The sequence below is a fragment of the Homo sapiens genome, chromosome 6, assembly GCF_000001405.40.
Source record: "Homo sapiens chromosome 6, GRCh38.p14 Primary Assembly".
NCBI lineage: Eukaryota > Metazoa > Chordata > Mammalia > Primates > Hominidae > Homo > Homo sapiens.
This window is the reverse complement of record NC_000006.12, coordinates 7,982,847-8,005,520: the sequence shown is the minus strand read 5'-3', so window position 1 is coordinate 8,005,520 and position 22,674 is coordinate 7,982,847. Positions and strand designations below refer to the sequence as shown.

The following is a 22,674-nucleotide window of genomic DNA, read 5'->3' as shown; positions in this document are numbered from 1 at the left end:
CATATGAGCATTGTTCTGTGTCAGGATTATATTCCAAAAGGCAGATAGTCAGAAATAGCACTCTATCTTAAAGGAATTTATAATTGAGTTGTGCACATGTAACAATAAAGTAGAAAACCAAGACCGTAACGTTACATAATACCACATCAAAGACTATGATATGCTAAGCAGGCAGCGTATGACTAAAATAAGTGAGTCCCAAGTAGGAACTGTCTTTGTGAGTTGTGGTCAGGGAATCATTTGTAGTAAAGATAAAACTTGAATGCAATAGGATTTGCGTTATGAAAAGGATGGCAGAATCTTTCCAGCTCAGTCTAGTTCAGTAAGCACCTGTGTTCCAGGAACTAGGGCTAAGAAGCTGACTAAAGCTTGGTTTCTGCCCTTGTTTATCAAAAACACAGGTGGACATACTTTTGGGAAATTTAGACAATAATCCATAGACTTCTTTGATGTTGAAGCAGTAGTGGATCAGTCTGGAAATTGGAAAGTGCACTGGAAATTGGAAATGAGAGAAGACTTGCATTTTGGTCATGCTTCCATCACTAAATTTGTACAGAGACTTTAAACACATCACATAGATGGTTTTCACATCATTTCCAACTTTAATAATTTGTGCTTATCCTGTAGGTAATGGGACTCTTACTGTAAGTGGCACGATGAAAGTGTTACAGGAAGGTTACTCTGTGGACTCAGATGTATGACTGATAGGTTGAGGAAATTATTAGCCTGCATTAGGATTTTTTTTTTAGAAAGTAGCTGAAAATAGCAATTTCTAGTCTAGACAGGGCAGGGATAGAGATGAAGATCTTGGCTTGGAAGTTAAGATTATGGGAATTTTTAACATCCATATATAGATATGTCTATGGACTGTTTGTGTTACTTATGACAATTACTGGCATGGCTTCAGATTTAGATAATCTCTATTTCTCTTTTATGTAAAATTGTAATTCTTAGCCCAAAGTGACTGAATTTTTGCTTTTGAGAACACCATTACTATAAGTAGGAAATCAAGAAAGTTATTAAATGGCCTTTGTCTTTTAGGTAAGTATTTTGCTTTTTATAATCAGTGCGAAAATACATCAGGTTTTATTAAGCAGCTACCTCTATTTAAGGATTTCCCATTTCCTTTCCCAGAAGACTGAATTATTCAAGGAAAAGAATGTTTTATGCTGTTTTATATCCCATGCATAGGACATGTGCTGACCACATATTAAAAAGGGGAGTTCGTGGGGGCTATGAGGATGCAAAGGCATAAGAATGATATCATGGATTTTGGGGGCTCGGGAGGAAGGATGTAAAGGGGTGAGAGATAGAAGACTACACATTGGGTGCAGTGTACACTGCTCAGGTGATGGGTGCACCAAAATCTCAGAAACCACCACTAAAGAACTTCTCCAGTTCCCCAACAACTATTGAAATAAAGAGAAAAGAAAAGGGAAGTTCTTGCTGTATTACAAGGCTGACCATGAGTTAGTTTGGTTAAGGAAGATTTGAGTTATCCTTGCTATTTACATTGCATTTGTGTTTTACAATAATTGAATATGAAGAAATAAAGACTAGATGAATGTGTTTCATTGTTTTTAATCAAAACTGTCAGGCTTGTCAATAGTCTGTCATCACCTGGTTTATAATAATTGCTATTTCTCTCTGGAAAGGCTTAAGCTTTTAAAGTAAGCTATATACTGCAAAGTAGAAACTTGAAATTTTACCTTTTTGGAAAAAAGTTACCCCCGTTAACAGTATTTTCCCCCAAAACCTCATTTAGATCATTTGTTTGGGACTTGGAATGCATCTCCCAATAGAAACAATGATGTACATGGTGATTAGGCTTTTAGCTGGCCCACAAACACGGTATCATGCCTCAAAATACCATAGTACCAGTAGTGATACGTAATGCTCTAAGCTAATAATGAGCCACTATATTTGATGATTTTTTTTTTTAAAGAACGGTATTCAGAGCCTTGACTTGTGGGACCTGGGATGTACCCCATTTGGCTGCAGCTCTGAAAGTCATATTGCCAGGTGGGAAAGCAAAGCAGAATCTCTTAGCTCCCGGTCCCTGAAGGAGGTATCTGCTGTTTAGGACCATTCCCTCTGCGGCTGCAGCCCCAACCTCCCACTGGCCTGCTTCCCTTTCTGTTTACTTGCTGCCTTGCCTCAAAACAGTTTGTTCTTCAACTCACTTTCAGAAAAAGCCTCACAGTTTCCCTTTTATCTGGTGTTGAAGAGATTCTGAGGTTTTTACTAAGGTTTTTGACAATAAGGAGAAGCAGATGAGAAGCACCCCTTTCCATCACCACTAGACACACACACAGCTTTAAGAGTGCTTAGGTGACACTGATGGTTCCCTAAACGCATCACTGGATAAAAGCATCTCCTTGTGCAGATTAAACGAGCTCCTGTAACATTTTGTTCTTGGTTTCCTTAGCGCGGGACGTTCTGTGGGGTAAATCGGCTCTGAGGTTGCTGCCTACGGGATTACACTAGGGCTGAACAAATGACTAGTGAAAGTGCAGAGCAGTCCCCAAGGGTTTATTTTCATCCCTTCCTTCTTGCCCCGACTGGCCCCTGGCTATCACAGACCTAGGTATCTTATGAAGTGAATTCGGCTCCCACTTGGAGATCCCAGGTCCCAGTGGTATCTGCAATCATGAGAGCATAACAAAATCCCTCTTCTCTTCTGTATCTGGGGTGTGTGTGTGTATGTGTGTGTGTCTTATATGGATGTTGGGTTTACTGTGTTAAAATCTTATGTAGGCCACAGAATAAGACTAATTAAGGCCACAGAATAAGACTATACTTAAGTCCTGAAATGAATAGACCTTACTAATGTTAATCACCTGAGAAAGTGGTGCGTTCTTAAAGAGGACTAGGTGGGTGTGAGAACCTACCTCTCTCACCCTCTCTCTCCCCCTACCCCTTTTCTTTCTTCTCTCTCTCCCTCCACAGTGGGCAGGGGTTACAGATAACCTCTGCCTCACAGAAGTGGACTACAGGTCACGCAGTCATCTTTGTAGGAGCACCTGAACCAGAGATGAGTGAGTTATGTTTTGTAAACCAGATTCTCTATATTGTATTGTGTGGCCATTTCCATGTTGTAACCCCCAAATTCTCCATGAAACTTCGTTTAAATGTTCCAACATGATCTCAGCTATGTAGAGGAAGTTAAGCAAGGCACTGTCCCTCAACACCAAAAGTATTGGATAGTGGTGGTGGCAGGGAGAAATCTCAAAGAAGGTAGATGTTGTCCCGTGAGGTCTAGTTACTACTCTCCATGTGGACGTTTCCCCCTCCATTGCCCACCTAGGAGCATCTAGACTAAATTTTCATGAAGAAAAAAGCAAGTTCCCTCTGCAAGTTCCTAACACTTACAGTGTTAGGGATAGCAAAATTGCAGGCTATAGCAACTGAAAAGTAACCTGGAACACTCATTGCTGAGGCTGACTGACTGGCTGAACCAAGTGTAGACAACGATGTGTAACCTATCCTGCTTCTTGCAAAACAAAACATGGATTAAATGTGTGCAGAACAGAAATGCATGTTTTGAACATTAATTATCAAACTAATTTTATTTTTTTCAGAAGATGAAGAAAATTTAGATTATGCAAAATCATTAATTCAGCATATTATAAATGCGTTATAAACTGCCACCTAACCCCAAGAAGCCTTCCCTATGCTCCCCATTTTCCCTTTAGCTACTGCTCCATTTATCTGCTCACGTTTATAGCAAAATGCCTGGAAGGAGCTGCCAGTATTTGCTGCTGTGTCCACTTACCGCATTCTGTATTCTCCCTTGAACCCTTTCCAGCTTGGCTTTCAGTACCACTCCTCCCCTGAAACCACCAGCCACCTCCATTGGGCCAAATCCAATGGTCCTGAGTTTTCACCTTATTTTTCAACGGCAGTAGGTACAATCGATTACTCTCTCCTTCTAGAAACACTTTCTTCACTTGGCTTTTTGATGACCAGCTATTCCTGGTTTGCTTTCTGCCTCTCTGGGTGTTCCTCCTCTTTCCAACCTCTAATTATTGATATGCCTCAAGGCCAGACCTCCAGCTATCTCTTCCCTGCAGATACTTCCCTGCAGCCAGTCTTAGGATGATTAACTATCAACTCCCCAATTTGTATCTCCAGCCCTGTTTTTTTCCTCACATATTTGACCACCTGATTAACATCTGCACTGAGATGCCTAATAGGCATCTCAAACCTCAATATCTGTGCCTCAGTTTCCCCACCTGTAAAATACGGGTGGTAAAAAGACCAATACTTAACCTCGTAAGTTTGTTTTGAGGATTAAATGAGTTAATATATGTAAAATAGAACCTCACATGTGCTATATTTAATGTTTCCTTTATAACAATGATTATCATTATCATCAATTCTAGATGTCCATTTGGGAATTTGCTCTGTGTAATCCATCCATTAAAAGGTCAACAGGTCATGATCATAAGAAATTTAAGCTTCTTAGAATGAAGTCCATAACAGTTCCCCTTGGACCACTTAGTTGGATTAGACTTTTTTCTGTGGTCTTAAAATACATATTAAACCAAAGAAATACTAGTTTAGTAAATCCTTAGATGGCACACCCATACAGCTGGTACCACAAATGATGTCACATTTCAGGAAGATCAGCTAATATATTCCATGGAATCAAAGGTATTTTTCAGGATGAAATGTGTTTTACTTCTAGTTCCCATGCTGGTCTTTGACTCAGACCCAAATCAGAGAAAAATTTAGCCTTTCAAATAGGTCTCTGCTGAACCCATTTTGATAGCACTTAATTTGTCGAAGTTATTTATTACCACATTTAGTAATTTTGGTAAAAATTTCTCACTTCTTAAAACAAATTTTGCTTACACCCTTTCAAAAGAATGTTATTGGTATGTGGGTAGGTTGTCTGGGGCCAGCCTCTTATCTAGAGACCAGATTTTAAAAGTCTGAGTTGAGTGAAGTGACTTAGACTGCATGCCTTTTGTTTTGTTTTGTTTTCATATGCATGTATGGGTCTTGCTAAAACACATTGCTCCCCTCATCTAGGAACAATGCCGCACACATCATTTCCTGAAATAATGGAGTTGGAAGGCAATTATCTACTCACAAAACAGGCTGAAACAACAGTTCCTGATATTCTTCTCAAATACTTTAACTTCCCAAGGAATCCGGAAAAAATAATTCCATGAGACAGTGTTGTGAATGAAGGTATGACATTCCAGTTTCCTTCACTGCAGTCCAGGGACCAGAGGTAATAAATTACCAAGCACTCGGCGCTATTGACAGGGGCTCTGGCCATGGTGAGCTGTTTGTCTTTGTACTGCCTTACAGCCTCTTGGGAGATGATGGCCCTGGGTTCCTTTTTGTACACTTTTGGGAAGCATCCCAGAGATTACTTGCAGTTTATTGAACTATTCTTATTTTACAACATTGTTTTCCTTTTACTCCTAAAGAGAATTTGGGACTTCTGTTTCAGACTTTCCAGATAAGAAATGCAAACTTTTAGAAAGAATGAATATTGGCCAGGTGCGGTGGCTCACGCCTATAATCCCAGCACTTTGGGAGGCCGAGGCAGGCAGATCACGAGGTCAGGAGATTGAGACCATCCTGGCTAACATGGTGAAACCCCGTCTCTACTAAAAATACAAAAAATTAGCCAGGCGTGGTGGTACATGCCTGTAGCCCCAGTTACTTGGGAGGCTGAGGCAGGAGAATTGCTTGAACCTGGGAGGCGGAGGTTGCAGTGAGCCCAGATCGTGCCATTGCACTCCAGCCTGGCAACAGAGCAAGACTCCGTCTCAAAAAAAAAAAAGAAGAATGAATATCTATTTCAGCAAAACATGTTTTGGGGTAGTGTGAGAGTTTTTTGGGCCCCTTGAATGTGGATTGGTAGATACTCCTATGAAGAGGCATCTTTATAATCCTTAGCAATCTAAACATCACCAAGGTAGCCTGATGGTACCCATGGCAAAGAATAACAATTAGGAAGATTGCTAATGTTTAGACATTGCTTTCTGGAATTCTCATTTGAAAGGAAGTCGGTACTGTATTTAATCAGGGATGAGAAAAAAATTGAGAATAGTCATCTGGCTGTTGAGCCTGTACAAGGCCAACTAGAAAGCTGTTTGGAAACTAGGTTGTGTTTTACATTTCATCTGAATGTTTGCATTTGCCTCTGTGTTGACATATCCTCCCCCATGAGTGAAAGGTGTAATAAATTGGATATAAGAGTCACAGGGAGGAACACTGAGCAGATTGAAGAGGGACTTGAGACACTGCAGCATTACTTAGGGGGTTTCATCGGCTGCCTCTGGGCATTTTTCCCGGAAAGATAGACCATTCTCTGTCTGGCTTTCTGGGTCTTCGTAAATCCTCTTCCCTGTGTGGAAGCTTAGGTATCGATGTCGTGTCTCTTCATTCCGCCTCAAAATCAACTTGTTTGACATTTGCTCTAGTGAAATGTATAACTTTTACAAGTATAGTGTGAAACTGGCATTTAAAACTACTTATTTCAGGCAGCCGGATATGGTGGCTCTAGCCTCAGGAGGCCAAGGCAGGATTACTTGAGCCCAAGAGTTTGAGACCAGCCTGAGCAACATAGTGAGACCCCATCTCCACAAAACAATTAAAAAATAAAAATGCTTATTTCTGATTGTATCAGAAATTTACCAATTCCTCATAAATTATGGAAATCGCTAAATTGAGGTTTTCTTTCTTTAAGGCATCTTTCCATTTGGCCTGGCCACTGCCTGGCCGAACGATGTGGTTGGCCACACATCCATGTTAGAAAATCCATTACCTTTCTCATTGTTCCTTGATTCCCACTGGCTCTTTTCAAGCCAGGAGACTCAAATTGAGAAGCTATAGGTGGAATGAGTCAATTTGTTTTATTAAAAAGGTAATGGGTCAAATTACCTCTTGAAGAAGAGTCAGTGACAAAAGCTAAAAGCAGAAGTAGGGTTTGTGCCACCATGCCCCAAGGGACAGCGAGTGGGGCTGTGCAGCCTGCGGTGTGGGGAAAGCAGTCCTGGGTGGAGGAGGGCCAGGCATAGGCCTTGGCACATCGTTCATTCCGTGGAATATTTTGGAGCCAGATTTCAGTGGTCTAGGCCTAGTTAAGAACTTGAGAATGAACAGTGTCTGGAGTCTTAAATCAGTTGTCTTCATTGTTTGGCTTTAGTTTATAGCAGTGGAATCATTTTTGGCTTTCTTATCTTGGCTCACTCCCAGGATTGGCTTAACACACTAGTTACCCAATTCTATAAATTCCAGTTACCTTACTAGTCTTCATAGCTACCTCAGAGGGAAATCGCCAGCCATGAATACTCAACTCGATGAAGCTGTCTGTGACGCACTTAAGCCCTAATGGGCTGCTGTTTATATTTAAGGATAAGTGTTATTAATGTTTTCTGGAATGGTCATTATTTTCTTGGTAATATTGAAATTTGGCAAGATATAGTATAGCTTGGTAAGCAAATACCAATTGTCTGTTAGTCTTCAATGACTAGGCATAGCACAGACTTACACAGGTAGGAAAGTTAAATTCAAGTCTGTGAATTTTTAATTCATTGTTACTTATACTGGACAAGTGATAGATTATGAATTTATATTTGCCATATACTTTTTTATAAGCATTGTTAAATATAGAATGAAATTTTTCTAAAGCAACATCTGTCTTAGACTGCATGCAGGGACTGTATCACTAGGCCAGTCAACATGTATCCAGTACTTGGCTAATTACAGGGAGTGTAAATGAGGTATATAATATGTGATTACTGCCCTGTAAAAAAACTTTTGTTGAGGAAGCAAAGGCTAAGTTAAATGAAATAGTTGGGAAACAGTTTAAAACTACATTTTAGAACGCTTGGATTTTACAGGAGGAAGAAATCACTGTAGGCTGAAATAGGTCATTGCGTCTTCCAAAGAGGCTTCATGGAAGAGGCAGGATGTAAAAGATGAATGGAATGTAAATGGGCAGAAAAGAGACAAGACAGAAACATTTGTGGAGCCTCTTTTGAATGCCAGACTCTTTGATAGCAACTTTATACACATAATCTCATTAATCCTGCTGAGTAGACATTTATATCCCTGTTTATACTGAGAATATTAAAGACTGGAGAGGTTAAGCAGTTTGCTCAAGTTTATACAACTAGTGAGATGCTCCTAAGTCATGGTTAAGACGATTGGCTCTGAATTCCAGGCAGTTTTAGATTTGAATCTCAGCTCCTCACTGACTGGCTGCCCTTCGTCTCCTTGTGCTTCCATTGTTTCATCTGTAAACCGGGAACTTAATAATAGTGACCTCACAGGTATAGAGTGATGAATAAATTACTTAATGAGACAAAGAACTTCACACAGTTTTTCATATGCTGTAACCACTCAGTATGTGTTTAAATATATATAGAAAGAGAGACAGATAATCTGACTGAGAGTCATAGCGACATCTTGTCTGACTCCAAAGTCTACATTCTTTGTAGTATATTACCCTGTAGAGGGAGCAGGTAGAAAATTCCAGATGGGAGAATAAGAATAAGCATTTTGTCTGCTAAAGAAAGGTGACGTCCCCTGCATGCCTGAAGTAGGGTTGGGTTGATGAAGTCATGAAAAATTAATTGGCTAAAGCAGATGGAAGCTAATTATGTAGGACCTTGAAGGGAGAACTTCAGACCAGATGCCACAGAGACCAGGAAAGCCAGCTAGTTCCTAGACGGAGAATAGCATGATGAAAGCATTGCTCTAGGCGGCAAAGAGGGGAAGGGTGGGGGTGCTGGAAGTTTACTTGGGAAACTGCCAAGTAAAGTATGAGGTAATGTAGTCTTGTGCTGCGGGGAGCAAAACCAGAACGTCCAAAGAAAGGACGCACATGGAGGATGCTGGTGCTGGCCGTGCCACCACACACGGCTGCTGGACTCTGGATGCTGCCGTTTCTACTAGCAGCCCCTGCCCTGGCACTAATGCCACAATGTATTTCTCTGCTGTAGACATGCTAAAGCTGAAAGCCAATGTTAACTAAAAACGATTCTGCCTTCTGTAAAATAAAAAGTAGGTGATGTTTTATTCTAAATAAATCACAAAATAAAATGTATGAGAAAAATATAGTGTACCACAGAGTCACTTAAGGTGTAAGTTTTCAGCTCAGCAAGCCTCATATACTGTTTTAATGCATGTGTACAATTTACTAAAGATTTAGCAAATTCATTACACTTCTCAAAAGGCTTGACATTTCTGATTGTATATCTCATTTTCCTCCTATTTTTTTTACATCTTTACCCAATGACATGTTTCCAGCTTGAGCGCAATAATGCCCAATCGTTTTTCTTAGCAATGTAGACTAGCACTCTACCTGCTAGGGCATGTAATTATCTACAGAGGTTAATATCTGAACATAAAAAGTGGCATCTATTAGCTGAATGGATCCTGAGCAAATCCTTTGTTTATTAAGCTGAAAGCTATCATCTGGAGGTCTTGCTGACTTAGAAGGGCCTGAGTCTGACAAATTGTTAATTAATATTGCATGTTCAGCCAGTAGCTACAGTATTCAGCCAGTAGCATACGAGAATTGCAATGATATAATTATATCACTAATTACGAAAGAGTATATCAGAATGATTAAGAATATGGAATTAGGCCTTGTGTGGTGGCTCATGCCTGTAATCCCAGCACTTCAGGAGGCCAAGGCGGATGGATCATCTGAGGTCAGGAGTTCGCGAGCAGCCTGGCCAACATGGCAAAACCCCTTCTCTACTAAAAATACAAAAATTAGCCAGGTGCAGTGGCGGGTGCCTGTAGTCTCAGCTACTAGGGAGGCTGAGGCAGGAGAATTGCTTGAACCCAGGAGTCGGAGATTACAGTGAACCGAGATTGTACCAGTGCACTCCAGCCTGGGCAACAGAGAGAGATCCTGTCTCAAAAAACAAAAAACAAAAAAAAAATGGAATTGCAACCAGACAGTCATGGGGTCCATTCCTGACCTTATTCCTCACTAACTGTATGAACTTGGCATATTCTTTATCCTCTCTGAGCCTCAGTTTCCTTACTTGGCTGCCAAAAAGGCTGGACGGGATACCATTTGGGAAGCATTTAGAACAGCATCTGGCACTTTAAAAATGCTTGATAAATGTTAGTACTTAATCATTATATTAAGCATGATAGTTTACAAAAAAACTTGCTCACATATTGAATTTCTTTGAACCTGTCAGTCCTGTGAAATAGACAGGAAAGGTGTTATTCTTATCTGATATTAAGAACTGAAGTTCATAGAAGGATTCAGTAACTGAAGTTAATTAGCGGCAAATCCAGAACTGAAAATTAGGGGCTGTCTCCTCTAGATTTCTAAACTACACACATAAAATACAAGACAGAGGCAAGAATCCCTGGCCTTTATGAATTTAAGCAAAGGTTCCTGATAGCAGTAGTTTTCAAATGCCAGTCCACGGACAGTGATCCTACAGGACAGAGTTTTCCCGTGTGTGTCATTTGGATTCTCAGACTGGATGGTGAAATGAGAACATGAGGGTTAGAGCAGTGAACTTGAGATAGAGTTAAATTTATCCACCTTAAGGAACTGCCTTTTACTATCATGTTATAGCTTTTCTACTTTTTGGTATTGAAATTGCCTTATGAAATGATGACAGATCATGGTAGCTATTTTTTGGTTAATGTCTCTATCTGAAGTAAGAGAACTTTGACAAAGACCACTTTGGGTCGCAGGTTTTGTTTTAGAAATGTTTCTAGTCCAAAATCGGAGAATCACTGCCCTAGAGTCATTTCATTATTTTACATATTAGTAGTTAAGTATACCGTAATACTTAGTTTATCTACATTAAGCCATAAAATCAGGGATTTGGATTTTTATGCAGTTTTTTTTTTCCTTCTTTTTTGTTTTTAGAGACAAGGTCTTGCTCTGTTGCCTGGGCTAGAGTGCGGTGGTGTGATCATAGCTCATTGCAGCCTTGAATTCCTGGCCTTAAGCGATCCTCCTGCTGCAGCCTTCCAAGTAGCTGGGACTGCAGGCACATGCCATGACACCCAGCTAATTTATTTTTGTGTAGAGACAGGGGTCTTGCTGTGTTGCCCAGACTGCTCTTGAACTCCTGGCCTCAAGCAATCCTCCCACCTCGGCTTCCCAAAGTGCTGCGATGACAAGCGTGAGCCACTGCATCCAGCCCTCCAATTTTAATTTTCTCTTGCTCTCTTTTTAATTACATAGATCACTGATGCTTATCTTTTTTAAGTAGCAATCGCAGACCGTTTTAGGAATCTTTTGGTAACTCCATCCCCCAAAACACATACACAAACAGTTATAGGTGCAAATTGGCTAGTTCACGAATTTGGTGGTACAGAAGCCCAGGGACGTGTAGGTGGCGCTGGTTCGTTAGTTTATGTAACCCGTTTTCTTTGTTTTTTTTCATCTTGCTTGTTTTCCCTATTAGATGTTAGGGCTTATACAGGTGAGAGTGGTGTTACAGGAGACTGGGCAAAAGGCTTAATGTCAGGACCTGATGGTTACGTAGAGGTCACTGCATCTTGTGTGGTTTTTCAGGCAGAACAGTCATATGATGGAAGATTGTAAAATATTATTAGTTATTTGTTATAGTTAATATATATGTTAGCAAAGAAGTGAGGAAGAGGACTCCTACATACTCCTACATACTCTCAAAGGAGAGTATAAATTGATGTAACCTCTTTGGAGGGCGATCTGAAAATATCTATCAACATTTAAAATGCACATACTGGCTGGTATGTGCTTAACAAGGTATGGCACATACTTGTTAAGATGTGTACAGAGGTCTTTGTTGTAGCTTTTCATATGAGAAAAATACTAGAAACAACATAAATATCCATTAATATGGAACTGGTTAATCAATTGTGTGGTATATTTGAATGGGAATACTATGCAGCCATGAAAAAGGATGGGTTAGCACTAAACATGATAATATGGAATGATCTCCAAGATGTTATTATGTGAAAAAGAAAGATACATTTTAAAAGGAGAAAATGCACACATGCTTGCATTTGGATATTTCTAGAGTGTATACCAGCAGCTGGTACTGATGACTGCCTCAGGGTAGGGTCTGAGGAATCAAGGGTCTGCAGGTCTGCAATGGGAGGGATACTTACTTTTCCTTTTTCTATTTATTGTAGTGCCTAAATCTTTTTTTTTTTTTCGAGATGGAGTCTCGCTCTATCGCCCAGGCTGGAGTGCAGTGGTGCGATCTCGGCTCACTGCAAACTCCATCTCCCAGGTTCACGCCATTCACCGGCTTCAGCCTCCCGAGTAGCTGGGACTACAGGCACCCGCCACCGCGCCCAGCTAATTTTTTGTATTTTTAGTAGAGATGGGGTTTCACTGTGTTAGCCAGGATGGTCTCGATCTGACCTCGTGATCTGCTAGCCTCAGCCTCCCAAAGTGCTGGGATTACAGGCGTGAGCCACTGCACCCAGCCTGTAGTGCCTAAATCTTTTAATCAGGTCCTTGTATTACTTATTCAATTAAAAAAAAGAGCTAGTTAAAAGGAGTTAATTTTAAAAATTACTGTGCAATATGAGCAAAAGAGGTTAGTGGATATTTACATTTCCTAACTGCAAGGAGATAAGGCAAAATGAACAGACTTCTTTTTTCCTTTTCTTTTTTTGCCTCATTCTCTAATGTGAGATCAAGGGGGCACCTGATGGAGTTAAGAACTGGGAAATGAATAAATCAAAGGAAATAGCTTTTTGCACAGCATGTAGCTAGTCTAAGGAATTTACCGCCAGAGGCAGTCATAGAGTCAAATACTGTGGCTGGATTTTTTTTTGGAAGTCTGGTCACTATGACCAGTCATAACATTTGTAGTTATGCAAGAAAAGATAAGGATAATCAAATCTGATGGTGCAGGATGTAAGCTGATCATTGCAAAGGAAGGAATTTCTCCCCAGCCTCCCTTCTTTTTTGGCTTCTCCCAGTGCCTCAGAATAACATTACACAATTAGCTAGGTCTGCTTTGAAGAGTTGACAGTACTTCCTCTGAATCATTAGGTATTATCCACAGCCAAGGGAAGGATTCCAGGCCTGCCAGAGCAGCAAAGCTCAGAACTCTTTTTTTGCACCCAGAGCGATGGCCCCTTCAGTTCCAAGTTCAGCGTTTTGGCAGGACAGCCCTCCTGCTGCTCTGCTCCTCCTGCCATTCCCGGTGAAGAACATGTTCAAAGGGAAATAATGGGTTTCAGCTCTTCTCCCGTTGAGCTGGCACTCTCGTATAAACAACAAACCCAAGATTATTGAGGGACTGAATAGATGTTCAGGAAATAATTCATGCTTTTTTCTCTTTCTCTTTCCTTCTTTGGCTCTGACTAGTAATGAATCCCTCCACCAGGGGGTAGACAGAAGACATAAAAGAAACCAGCACTGACCAATCTCATTTAGGCCCCAGTAACAGGTTTCATATTGTTCTAGGTCTCATTCATCCAAATAACCCAAGAAATACTGCACCCATTTACTGTCTTATATTTTAAGATCAAGAGTAGGATGTATCAAATTGACTTCGATTTGAGCAAGTAAGTAGAGTGTAGAATAGTATAGTATGTCAACATGAGCCAGATAAATTGCATTAACTAAAATCTACTGCAGATGAGGCCATTCTGTTTCTCCATGTGACTAGTTCAAAGGCAAAACTTTAGTCACATAAATGAGAGGACCTTCTTTTTTAAAAGTTTCTCCCCCATGTTATGGAAGCTGGCAACAGGCAGGCAGGGTATGTCTGTGTGCATGTATATGCATGCAGGGTGAATGCCCTTCCCTTTTCTGTCAGCCAACAGCTGGATGACTCCAAGACAACACAGTCAGTGATCCCAGGTCCATCTGGTGGCCACACACAGGGGCACGGCCTCTTGCTTGTCCCACAGACAAGATTCAAAACAGTCACCCAAACACCCAAAGTTCCAGGAGAAAATTTGTATCATTTTTGTTTGGCTAAATTATGTCTTTAAAAGTTCCAACAGAATTTTTAAAAATATCTCTTATTACATTTAATTATAATTTTAAAATAATTTCTTTGCTACTCAAACTCATCGACACCATGTACAACCTTACCTTTGAAGCTTTTTAGGAGACCCATTTCACTTCCAGCATTGTCCAGTAGAACTTTCTGCAGTGGGGGAAGTGTTCTTTATCTGTGTTGTCCAATATGGTAGCCACTAGCCGTATGTAACTATTGAGTACTCGGAATGTGGCTAATGTGTCTAAGGAACTGAATGTTTAATGTGACTTAATTTTCATTGACTTATAAGCAACAATGCCACCTGAACTTTAGCATTTCTTATATCCTCAGCCCATTTTTACTTTAGCATCCTAGCAAACATTCAGAAGTGACATGGTCATTTTCTTCCTTCTGGGATGGAGCGTTGGCTCTCTTTATTGTCATTAAGATCTTTGAAAGCAATAAGAAGATATAATTAGCCGGGCATGGTGGCTCACGCCTGTAATCTCAGCACTTTGGGAGGCCAAGGAGGGTGGATCACCTGAGGTCAGGAGTTCAAGACCAGCCTGGCCAACATGGTGAAACCCCATCTCTACTAAAAATGCAAAAAATTAGCCGGGCCTGGTGGTGCGCGCTTGTAATCCCAGCTACTTGGGGGGCTGAGGCAGGATAATCTCTTGAACCTAGGAGGTGGAGGTTGCAGTGAGTCGAGACTATGCCATTGCACTCCAGCCTGGACAACAAGACCAAGACTAGTCTCAAAAAAAAAAAAAAAAAAAAAAGAAGAAGATGTAATTTTTCTGTTTTCACACAGTTTTAGGAAAAGTGACACAGACTTGTCATTATGCAAAGGCTACGGTTTTTACTCAAATCCTGTCATGGGGCCTGTGTTGATACCTAATATCCCAATGGTAACCTCAACCTGCAACAGTAGTGAGGCTTTTTTCTCTAAATGGTATAACCCATAATTTTAGACAATAATAAAAGTTTAAAAATCTAATTTTTGCACAGCCAAGAATAACATGGGGTACTAGGAAATTCCATCAGCAAGGCAGGCAACTTCTTGGCATCAGGGATTGTGTCTTTTATCTGTTTCCTTAGTTCTAGCATAAATTTTAATAAGTGCTTCTCAAATGAGTGCTTTAGTATATGAGTGGATGAATAAATGTGTCTCAGAAGTCATGCTAGTAACATAACATTAAAGAAGCCTCTCATTAAAGCTCCTGGTGCCCTAGCAGGTATCTTTATTGGCAGATAAGTTATGGAAAGACACAATGTAAGAAATAGTATTTTGGACTCATGAAAGAACTCATATAAAAACATTGAAAACTCATCCATGACTAGTTTAGATAGTTTGAAGAATAAGTGGTACCCTGTGTTTATAAAGTATATGGGTCCGTTCGTTTTCACAAAAAAAAATTATTTCTCTCTGCATTTATTTATGACAATGCATGTCATCTTTCCTGGTCATGCCTTTTCACCTCGCTCTGCCTTTGCCTTATGCTGACAGACACATGGCATCGTCAGCTGCCTCCCTTCCTTGACTCCTGCCTTGTTTTACAATTATTACAGTCAGGTGTATTAAATTACAAACTAAGAGCCTTGCTTTCTGCTTTAAGATGCTTTACAGGATAACCTCAACTTTTCCTTGTTCCTGTCTCCTTTCTTCATTGTTGTCAAAATGATCCATCGGTTTCTTTTCTTTTTCTAAATAACTGATAAAAGTTTATTACATTAAAACCATATATCACTTTTATATTGCATTTGCCTTTTCCGAATGATACAAAGTAGAAGCAAATAGAGACACTTCATTAAAATGTTGATTCCCTATTCCTTTCCCTAAGACCCAGCCCTCCCTCAAATATTCTCTCCCACCCCTTACAGAACTCTGTCCTTAATAAAACACTTAAATACATCATAAATAGTAAATTATGAAAAAAATAGCAAGAATTGTTTCTTTCCTTCTTGTAAAAAAGAACATGGCAGCAAAGACAGGCAGCCAGAAACTGGCTGGGGGTGTCTAATATAGAAAGTTATTTGGGGTATGGGCTAACCTACTGTCAAGGCAGGGTGGGATAGAGAAGGGATAGAACAGGAATTCAACAATATGCCTGAGATACCAGGCCCCCTTCTTCTCCTGACAACAGTGGAAGGATCAGATGGAAAACCACAACTCTTGTAGGTGGGGAGGAGAGGGCATATGTAGCCCCCATTTCCAACTTCTCTGCATGAAGACGGGGGTAGGACATATGGCATAGCAATGACCTCACCGAGGCAAGAATCCACTGTCTCCCCATGAATTTAAGAAAATATTTGCTGGCCTCACAGATACGGACTGCCTGTTAAACAGACAGAGGTGTCCCCTCTTCACCTTAGCACCACAAACAGGAGAACACTGTTGGAAAAGATGGGAAGAGCAAAAAAATCTCCTTTGGAGAATGATCTAAAATTCATTTGGTAAGTCTTCATATTTAGAAAAGCAACCAGAATATATTTCAAATTGCAAAACAGTAATAATCATTATAGCCTGGCAGTGAATAGGATTCTGCCCAGGAAGGGCTATGATCTCCCAACCCATGGCTGCCTCATGTTTTAACAAAAGTGGTAAAGATTACCCCACGTCCCACTCTCTCCATTCCTTCAGCCTTAAGAAATTCATCAAGAGATGAGGAGTTTAAAGAGGAGCTGCTTCTGGCAGAGCAATCACTACTTTTCCCTTCACAAACACCGTGGCTCTTCTGAGGGAACCCTACGGATAGGCATCTCGTCAACACTTCTGGATTTTTGATCTGAAACTGGCTTGAAATTTGGTGCTGTGCGCTTTTTCCTTTTTTCAGGAAAAAAAAAAAAACAAAGTTGGGAGGTGGTTAAACACCCTTATCCCCCAAAAACCTATACAGAGATTACAGGGGTTTTCTTCCAGGGATCAGAGAGAAAGAACTAAGGTGGGGATAATGTGGCAGCTAGTCTGTCCTGAGGAAATGAAGAGTCCAGTTCCTGGTGAAAGATGAGGGGAAAGAAAACTGCCAAGTCCAGTAATCTCATTTCCAGCATGAAGAATGGGGGTCTGAAAAAAATTCAGTTGTGGAAACCAAGGTTAGCCAGTTGAAAATCCGTGCCACCCAACTCTGGAGTGGAGGGGATGCTGTGGAGAGGATGGAGTGGTCCTCAACTGTCCAAGGCACTAATGCCCATTTATGAGGACAGAGAAGAATAGGAGGCTCTTCTTCAGGAAGAAGATGGAGAGTGCACCTCGCTTCTTTTACACTCCTTTTTTGATGACCAAGTAGAAGAAAATTCAACATTGCTGGGGCAAGGGCTGACATCTTGGGATCACAGAGAAGCAGAATCTTGTTCCAGGTCTTCTGAGGCTTTGCGCTTAATGGGTGAACTCTGACTCTGTACATTCAAGTTTTTCCAAGGTTATACTTGTAGTTAGCATATGCAAAGTCTTTCCAACTACAGGTGAGAAACTGTGGTCAGTAATAGTGAGCCCTCACTGATTTCCTCCAAAGGTGGATTCTGAGGTCTGAGGTAAAACATCAGAACGACCAAGGTGAACACCTGGCTCCACTTGCACCTTTATCACTTGTGACTTGTGTTCCTCAGAGACCAATGGCTGGTAAGTAATGCAGGAGTTGCCACTGGAGCCCGTATGCAGAGAGAAAGATAAGCCAGACCGAAACTTTTTGGAAGGAGAAGGCTTCAAGGGGATCTTCTTAAATACTGCGTTGCACATGAAGTGCTGGAACCGTTCAGCGTAGAAGCCTGGGCGATGCACTGAGACAGCGTCCCCATCATGTACCACGGCTTTCCAAGAGTGCTCCAACTTCTTAAGAAACGTGTAAGACTGTAGAATGTCAATGATGCCAATATAAAGCAGAAGCCTTTCCCCTTTACTATTCTGAGCAGGGATGCCACCCATATGGTCATCGGCCTCCATGGTGTCGCCCAGCCGAGCCTCTCCCTGGATGAATTCCATGGCTGTGGAATACAGAGCCTTTTGGGGAGCCAGTCTTTGAGTGTCGATTGACACTTGAAGAGTGTCGCTGCTTAAGGGCTCTCGTTGTGCATGATCTATATTGTGGATTGACAGCCAGAGGCTATAGTCCATTATCTTGAAGCTCTGCAGCACCAAACAGTCACGCTGCAGGGTCTTACAGAGAGCATTGTACGTGTCAGCATCCAAAAAAAGACCATCAGGGATGTCTTGTAAGAAGTCTAGATCTTTAAATGTGGGAAGAGGCTTCTCTCGCTCTTTCTGGGAAGCCCGGCGTTTGTAGGTTGAGCCTTTGAGGTCATATTTGATATGCATTTTGACGGATCTTGGTAAAAGATTGTTCATCACCACAATCCGAATGTTCTTGCCACCTGTCTGCACACAGTACAGTCCAAAGAATTTAGGCAGCAAAGTCCGAGGGTTCTGGCTGAGGTTCAAGTAGTATCCTGGAAGCAGCTTCTGCAGAAACTCCGCCTCTTTATGTTGGAGTGTCTTAATAATGAGTTCATCGTCGCTGGACACATAGAACAGGGAACCACTAGCTCCAGAGCTACAGAGTTCAATCAGCGGCTCACTGCAGAGGGAGCACAAGTAATCATCGGGCGGGATACCAAATAGCTCCCGAAAGTAGCGGAAGGCAACCGGCGCATAGGTCTTGAAACGGAAGGCATTGTAGTGATGAGCAGGGGTCAGGTTGCTCCCTTCACTGGGGAAGAAGATACTCTCCACCACGTAGAAATCTTGCATGAGGACATCACGCTCTGGTTTGGTACTCAGGCTCCCCACAGTGTAAGTAATGCCTAACTGGATGGCACCTTTCAAGGCTGTTGAGGTTGTCTTTTTATATGTTGTCTCTCCTGAGGAATCGACACCTCGATGGCCTGTTTTCTTGATGGGCATGCCAGAGGCATAAGGCACCTCAGATGCCGTGGGGCTCAAGATTCCAGATGCTGAGGACGCGGTACAGGAAGGGGCCCCGGGATCAAAGGATGAAAAACCGACCGCCAACGACGGTTGGGAGGAGGCCGACGCCATCTTGGCAGCCCCCTTCCCGGCAGCCGCCTGGCTGTCTTTCCATCCGCCTCTTCCTGTTCTCGGAATCGAATCTTCTCCACGTGTCTTTACAGAACCCGCGTTCTGCGGGCCACCTTCCCGCCGCCTCTGGGGCCTCCCTCAGACCTGTCATCGAGCCGGCTGCTGGACCAGCTCAAGGCCGCACCATTCGCCTGGCATGGGGGAGAACGCCCGTCTCGCACGCCCTCCACAAGTTCAACCGCTTTCCTCAGAGGAGACTTTCCGCTTTCACAGAAGAGTAAGCTCAAGCTGACTGCTTGGACCCTGCGTCAGGAAAAAGCCACATCTGAAGAAAAAAAACAAAACGAGGCGTGAAAAGTCCCAGAGGAGCGAACGCCGCCTCTCTGTCCTCCCTACCCACGGCCTGTTTACCGCCCAACCCAGCCGCTTCGATCCGTCAGTTTCCTTCTTTTTTTCTTTTTTTCTTTTTTTTTTTTTGAGACGGAGTTTCCCTCTTGTTGCCCAGGCTAGAGTGCTGTGGCACGATCTCAGGTCACCGCAACCTTCATCTCCCGGGTTCAAGCGATTCTCCTGCCTCAGCCTCCCAAGTAGCTGGGATTACAGGCACGCGCCACCACGCCCTAGCTAATTTTGTATTTTTAGTAGAGATGGGGGTTTCACCATGTTGGTCAGGCTGGTCTCGAACTCCCGAACTCAGGTGATCCGCCCTCTTCGGCCTCCCAAAGTTCTGGGATTACAGGCGTGAGCCACTGTGCCCAGCCGATCCATCAGTTTATTTACGTGATCAACCCATTCCTACCTAAGCCTTTTTTTTTTTTTTTCAAGTTGCACCTAATGACTCGAATGCCCTATCATCTCGGGTCCTCTAGCCTCACTTCTCTCTTAGTATCAGAAACATACTTGAAACTCCAATTCATGTATAGAAGCTTTCTCAAACAACACCAGTGTGTTATGGAAGAAAGACCTCAGCGCTCTAGAAGTGTGATAACTGATTTAAGAATCTGCTTGTGCCACTAGCTGATTGTTTGATCTTGGATAAGTCACTCAACATCCCTGGGGCTCTATTGCTGCCTCTATGAAATGGGAAGGGAGGAGTTTAGGTAAATTTACATGATCCCTCCATACTCTAAAACCTATGGAATTAAGGAATAATATTTATTCCCTACCATCCTGTCAAAACCTATGATAATGACATGCTAACAAATAATGCCGCAAATATGTTCTCTAATGAGACAGAAAAATTGTACACTTTATTTATATGAAATTTATTATGTGTGCTGCTATGCCCCCAGCATACTACCATGAATGGACAAGTATTTGTGATAATAAAATATTTATAAATGGGGATTGGCTTTTGTTTATGGCAGAATAGTCCATTTAAACCAACCTCCCTCAGAGAACAAATTTTTTTAAAAATTTGGTCGGATACATTGGAGTCCTAAGAAGTTAGTGAATAATTATAGTACTGAGATCTGGGAAAAGAAAGAAGTACAGAGAGGTGAGCATTTGGGCCCACTGTTTCCTTAGGGACCTCTGCATGTTCCATTAGAGGTAGCTGAGAGTCTGATAAGCTTAGCAGAGTTTTTGACAAACTCAGTGGATTAGGGAACAAAAAACTGAGTTTGGGGTCTGATACAGCAATTGTCTGCTAAACTTCCCAAAACTTCGGATTGAGACCCTGAAAGGCTATATAGCATGGGAGTAAATGTGTATAGAAATAGACCGTTCCTCACAGACACTGCAATTCAGCTGCGAATCACCTCAATCCCTGGTGGGATCAAGATAATTGAGATGGGTAATATCCCTAGATGTCTATAAAGAGCAAATTTATATTCCTCTTTGGAGAAATATATTAATAACATTGTCCTAGCCCTTAAATTCTCTCTCATTTTTTATGTGTAATGTCCAGAATTCAGGCAGTCATTATTATGTACATAAGGAGTCAAGACAATGTGACTGAATACCAAGAGAAATGATAGACAATAGAAATGGACTCACAGGGGATCCTGCCATATCTCAGTAATATCATTCTCTTATACAGATTTTAAAGTAACACTGATTAATATATTTAAAGAAATAAATGACAAGATTGGCAACTTAAGCAGAGAACTAGAAATGCTATAAAAGAACAAAGTTCTACAACTAAAAATTATGATAAAAGAAAAACTCAATGGATAAGATTTATGGCAGATTAGAGACAGCTAAAGAGAGAAGGAGTGGAGTAGGAAAATCTGAAGAAAATATCTAGAATGAAGCATAGAAAAATAAAAGTTTAGAAAATACATAAAAGAGGCTGGGCGTGGTGACTCATGCCTGTAATCCCAGCACTTTGGGAGGCTGAGGTGGGTGGATCACCGAAGGTTGGAATTTGAGACCAGCCTAGCCAACATGGTGAAACCCTGTCTCTACTGAAAATACAAAAATTAGCCAGGCGTGGTGGCAGGCACCTGTAATCTCAGCTACTCTGGAGGCTGAGGCAGGAAAATCGCTAGAACCTGGGAGGCAGAGGTTGCAGTGAGCCAAGATTGCTCCATGGCACTCTAGCCTACGCGACAGAGCAAGGCTCCATCTCAAAAAAAAAAAAAAAAAAAAAAAAAAGACAGGAAGAAAACAAAGAAAATACATAAAAAAGAAAAGATAGGGAATACAGTGAAAGAATGTAACATTTAGTCCTGGAAGGAAAGGAGAGAGAAAATGAGACAGAAGCAACATTTCAAGGGATAATGGCTGAGAATTTTTCAAAATTGATGAAAGACTTAAAGTCATAGTTTTAAGAGTCATTGTAATCCTCAAGTAAGATAAATAAAAACAAAAATGATAGTAAAATTCTGCTGAAAGGCAGACAGAAAATTTAAAGCAAAGAAAGTGAGGTGGTAGGTGAGGAGAGATTATCCTCATAGAATGAATCATAAGACTGACAGCTAACTTCTTTACAGAAATAATAGAAGACAGAAGAATAAAATCTTTGAATTTTGGAATTCTATCCCTAGCAAAAAGAACTACCAAGATTGACAAGGAAACAAAGGCATTTTCAGGTAAACAACAACTGAGAGAATTTACCAGAGGCATCTTTGTAATAAAGGGAACACCAAAGAACATTCTCAGGCAAGAGAAAAGTGACTCTAATTTTTTAGAGATGGGGGATGAAATGGAGAGCGAGAGAAATGGGGTAAATAAATGAGTAAATCCAAATGAATGTTGTTCTTCAAAAAATGATATTAATGCTATGCTTTGGAGTTTAAAAACATAATTGTTTAAAGTCTCAACAGAAATGAAGGATCTAAACAAAATTAAAGTATTATAAAGTCCTTTGCATTTTGAAGTAAAAGTGTTAATGATGTTAGCTTCGTTTTTTAAAATTAATTTTTTTTTTTTTTTGAGTAGGAGTCTTGCTCTGTTGCCCAGGCTGGAGTGCAGTGGTCTGATCTCGGCTCACTGCAACCTCTGCCTCCCAAATTCAAGCGATTCACCTGCCTCAGCCTCCAAGTAGCTGGGATTACAGGCGCCCGCCACCACACCTGGCTAATTTTTGGGTTTTCAGTAGAGATGGGTTTCACCACGTTGGCCAGGCTGGTCTCAAATTCCTGGACTCAAGTGATCTGCCCACCTTGGCCTCCCAAAGTGCTGGGATTACAGGCATGAGCCACCATGCCTGGCCTGAATGCTGTAATTTCTGTAACTAAAAAGTAA

The 22,674-nt window shown here is 41.3% G+C and overlaps 1 long non-coding RNA gene and 1 pseudogene across 2 annotated transcripts in view, besides 1 other annotated feature; one reads left to right on the top strand and one right to left on the bottom strand.

Annotated features, from left to right (window-relative positions):
* The window catches only part of BLOC1S5-TXNDC5 (BLOC1S5-TXNDC5 readthrough (NMD candidate)), a 183,165-nt gene that overhangs the window by 58,894 nt on the left and 101,597 nt on the right, over window positions 1–22,674 (top strand). The window lies entirely within an intron of this gene.
* PIP5K1P1 (phosphatidylinositol-4-phosphate 5-kinase type 1 pseudogene 1) lies at window positions 15,177–19,419 on the bottom strand (annotated as a pseudogene). The gene has a single exon (NR_027712.1). The product of NR_027712.1 is annotated as a phosphatidylinositol-4-phosphate 5-kinase type 1 pseudogene 1 (transcript).
* Window positions 19,076–19,577: an enhancer, noted in NCBI's record as "H3K27ac-H3K4me1 hESC enhancer chr6:7986177-7986678 (GRCh37/hg19 assembly coordinates)". NCBI's record gives its function as "activates a minimal SCP1, AML or CMV promoter by ChIP-STARR-seq in naive H9 embryonic stem cells {active_cell/tissue: H9 hESC(naive)}" and the evidence as "EXISTENCE:reporter gene assay evidence [ECO:0000049][PMID:30033119]".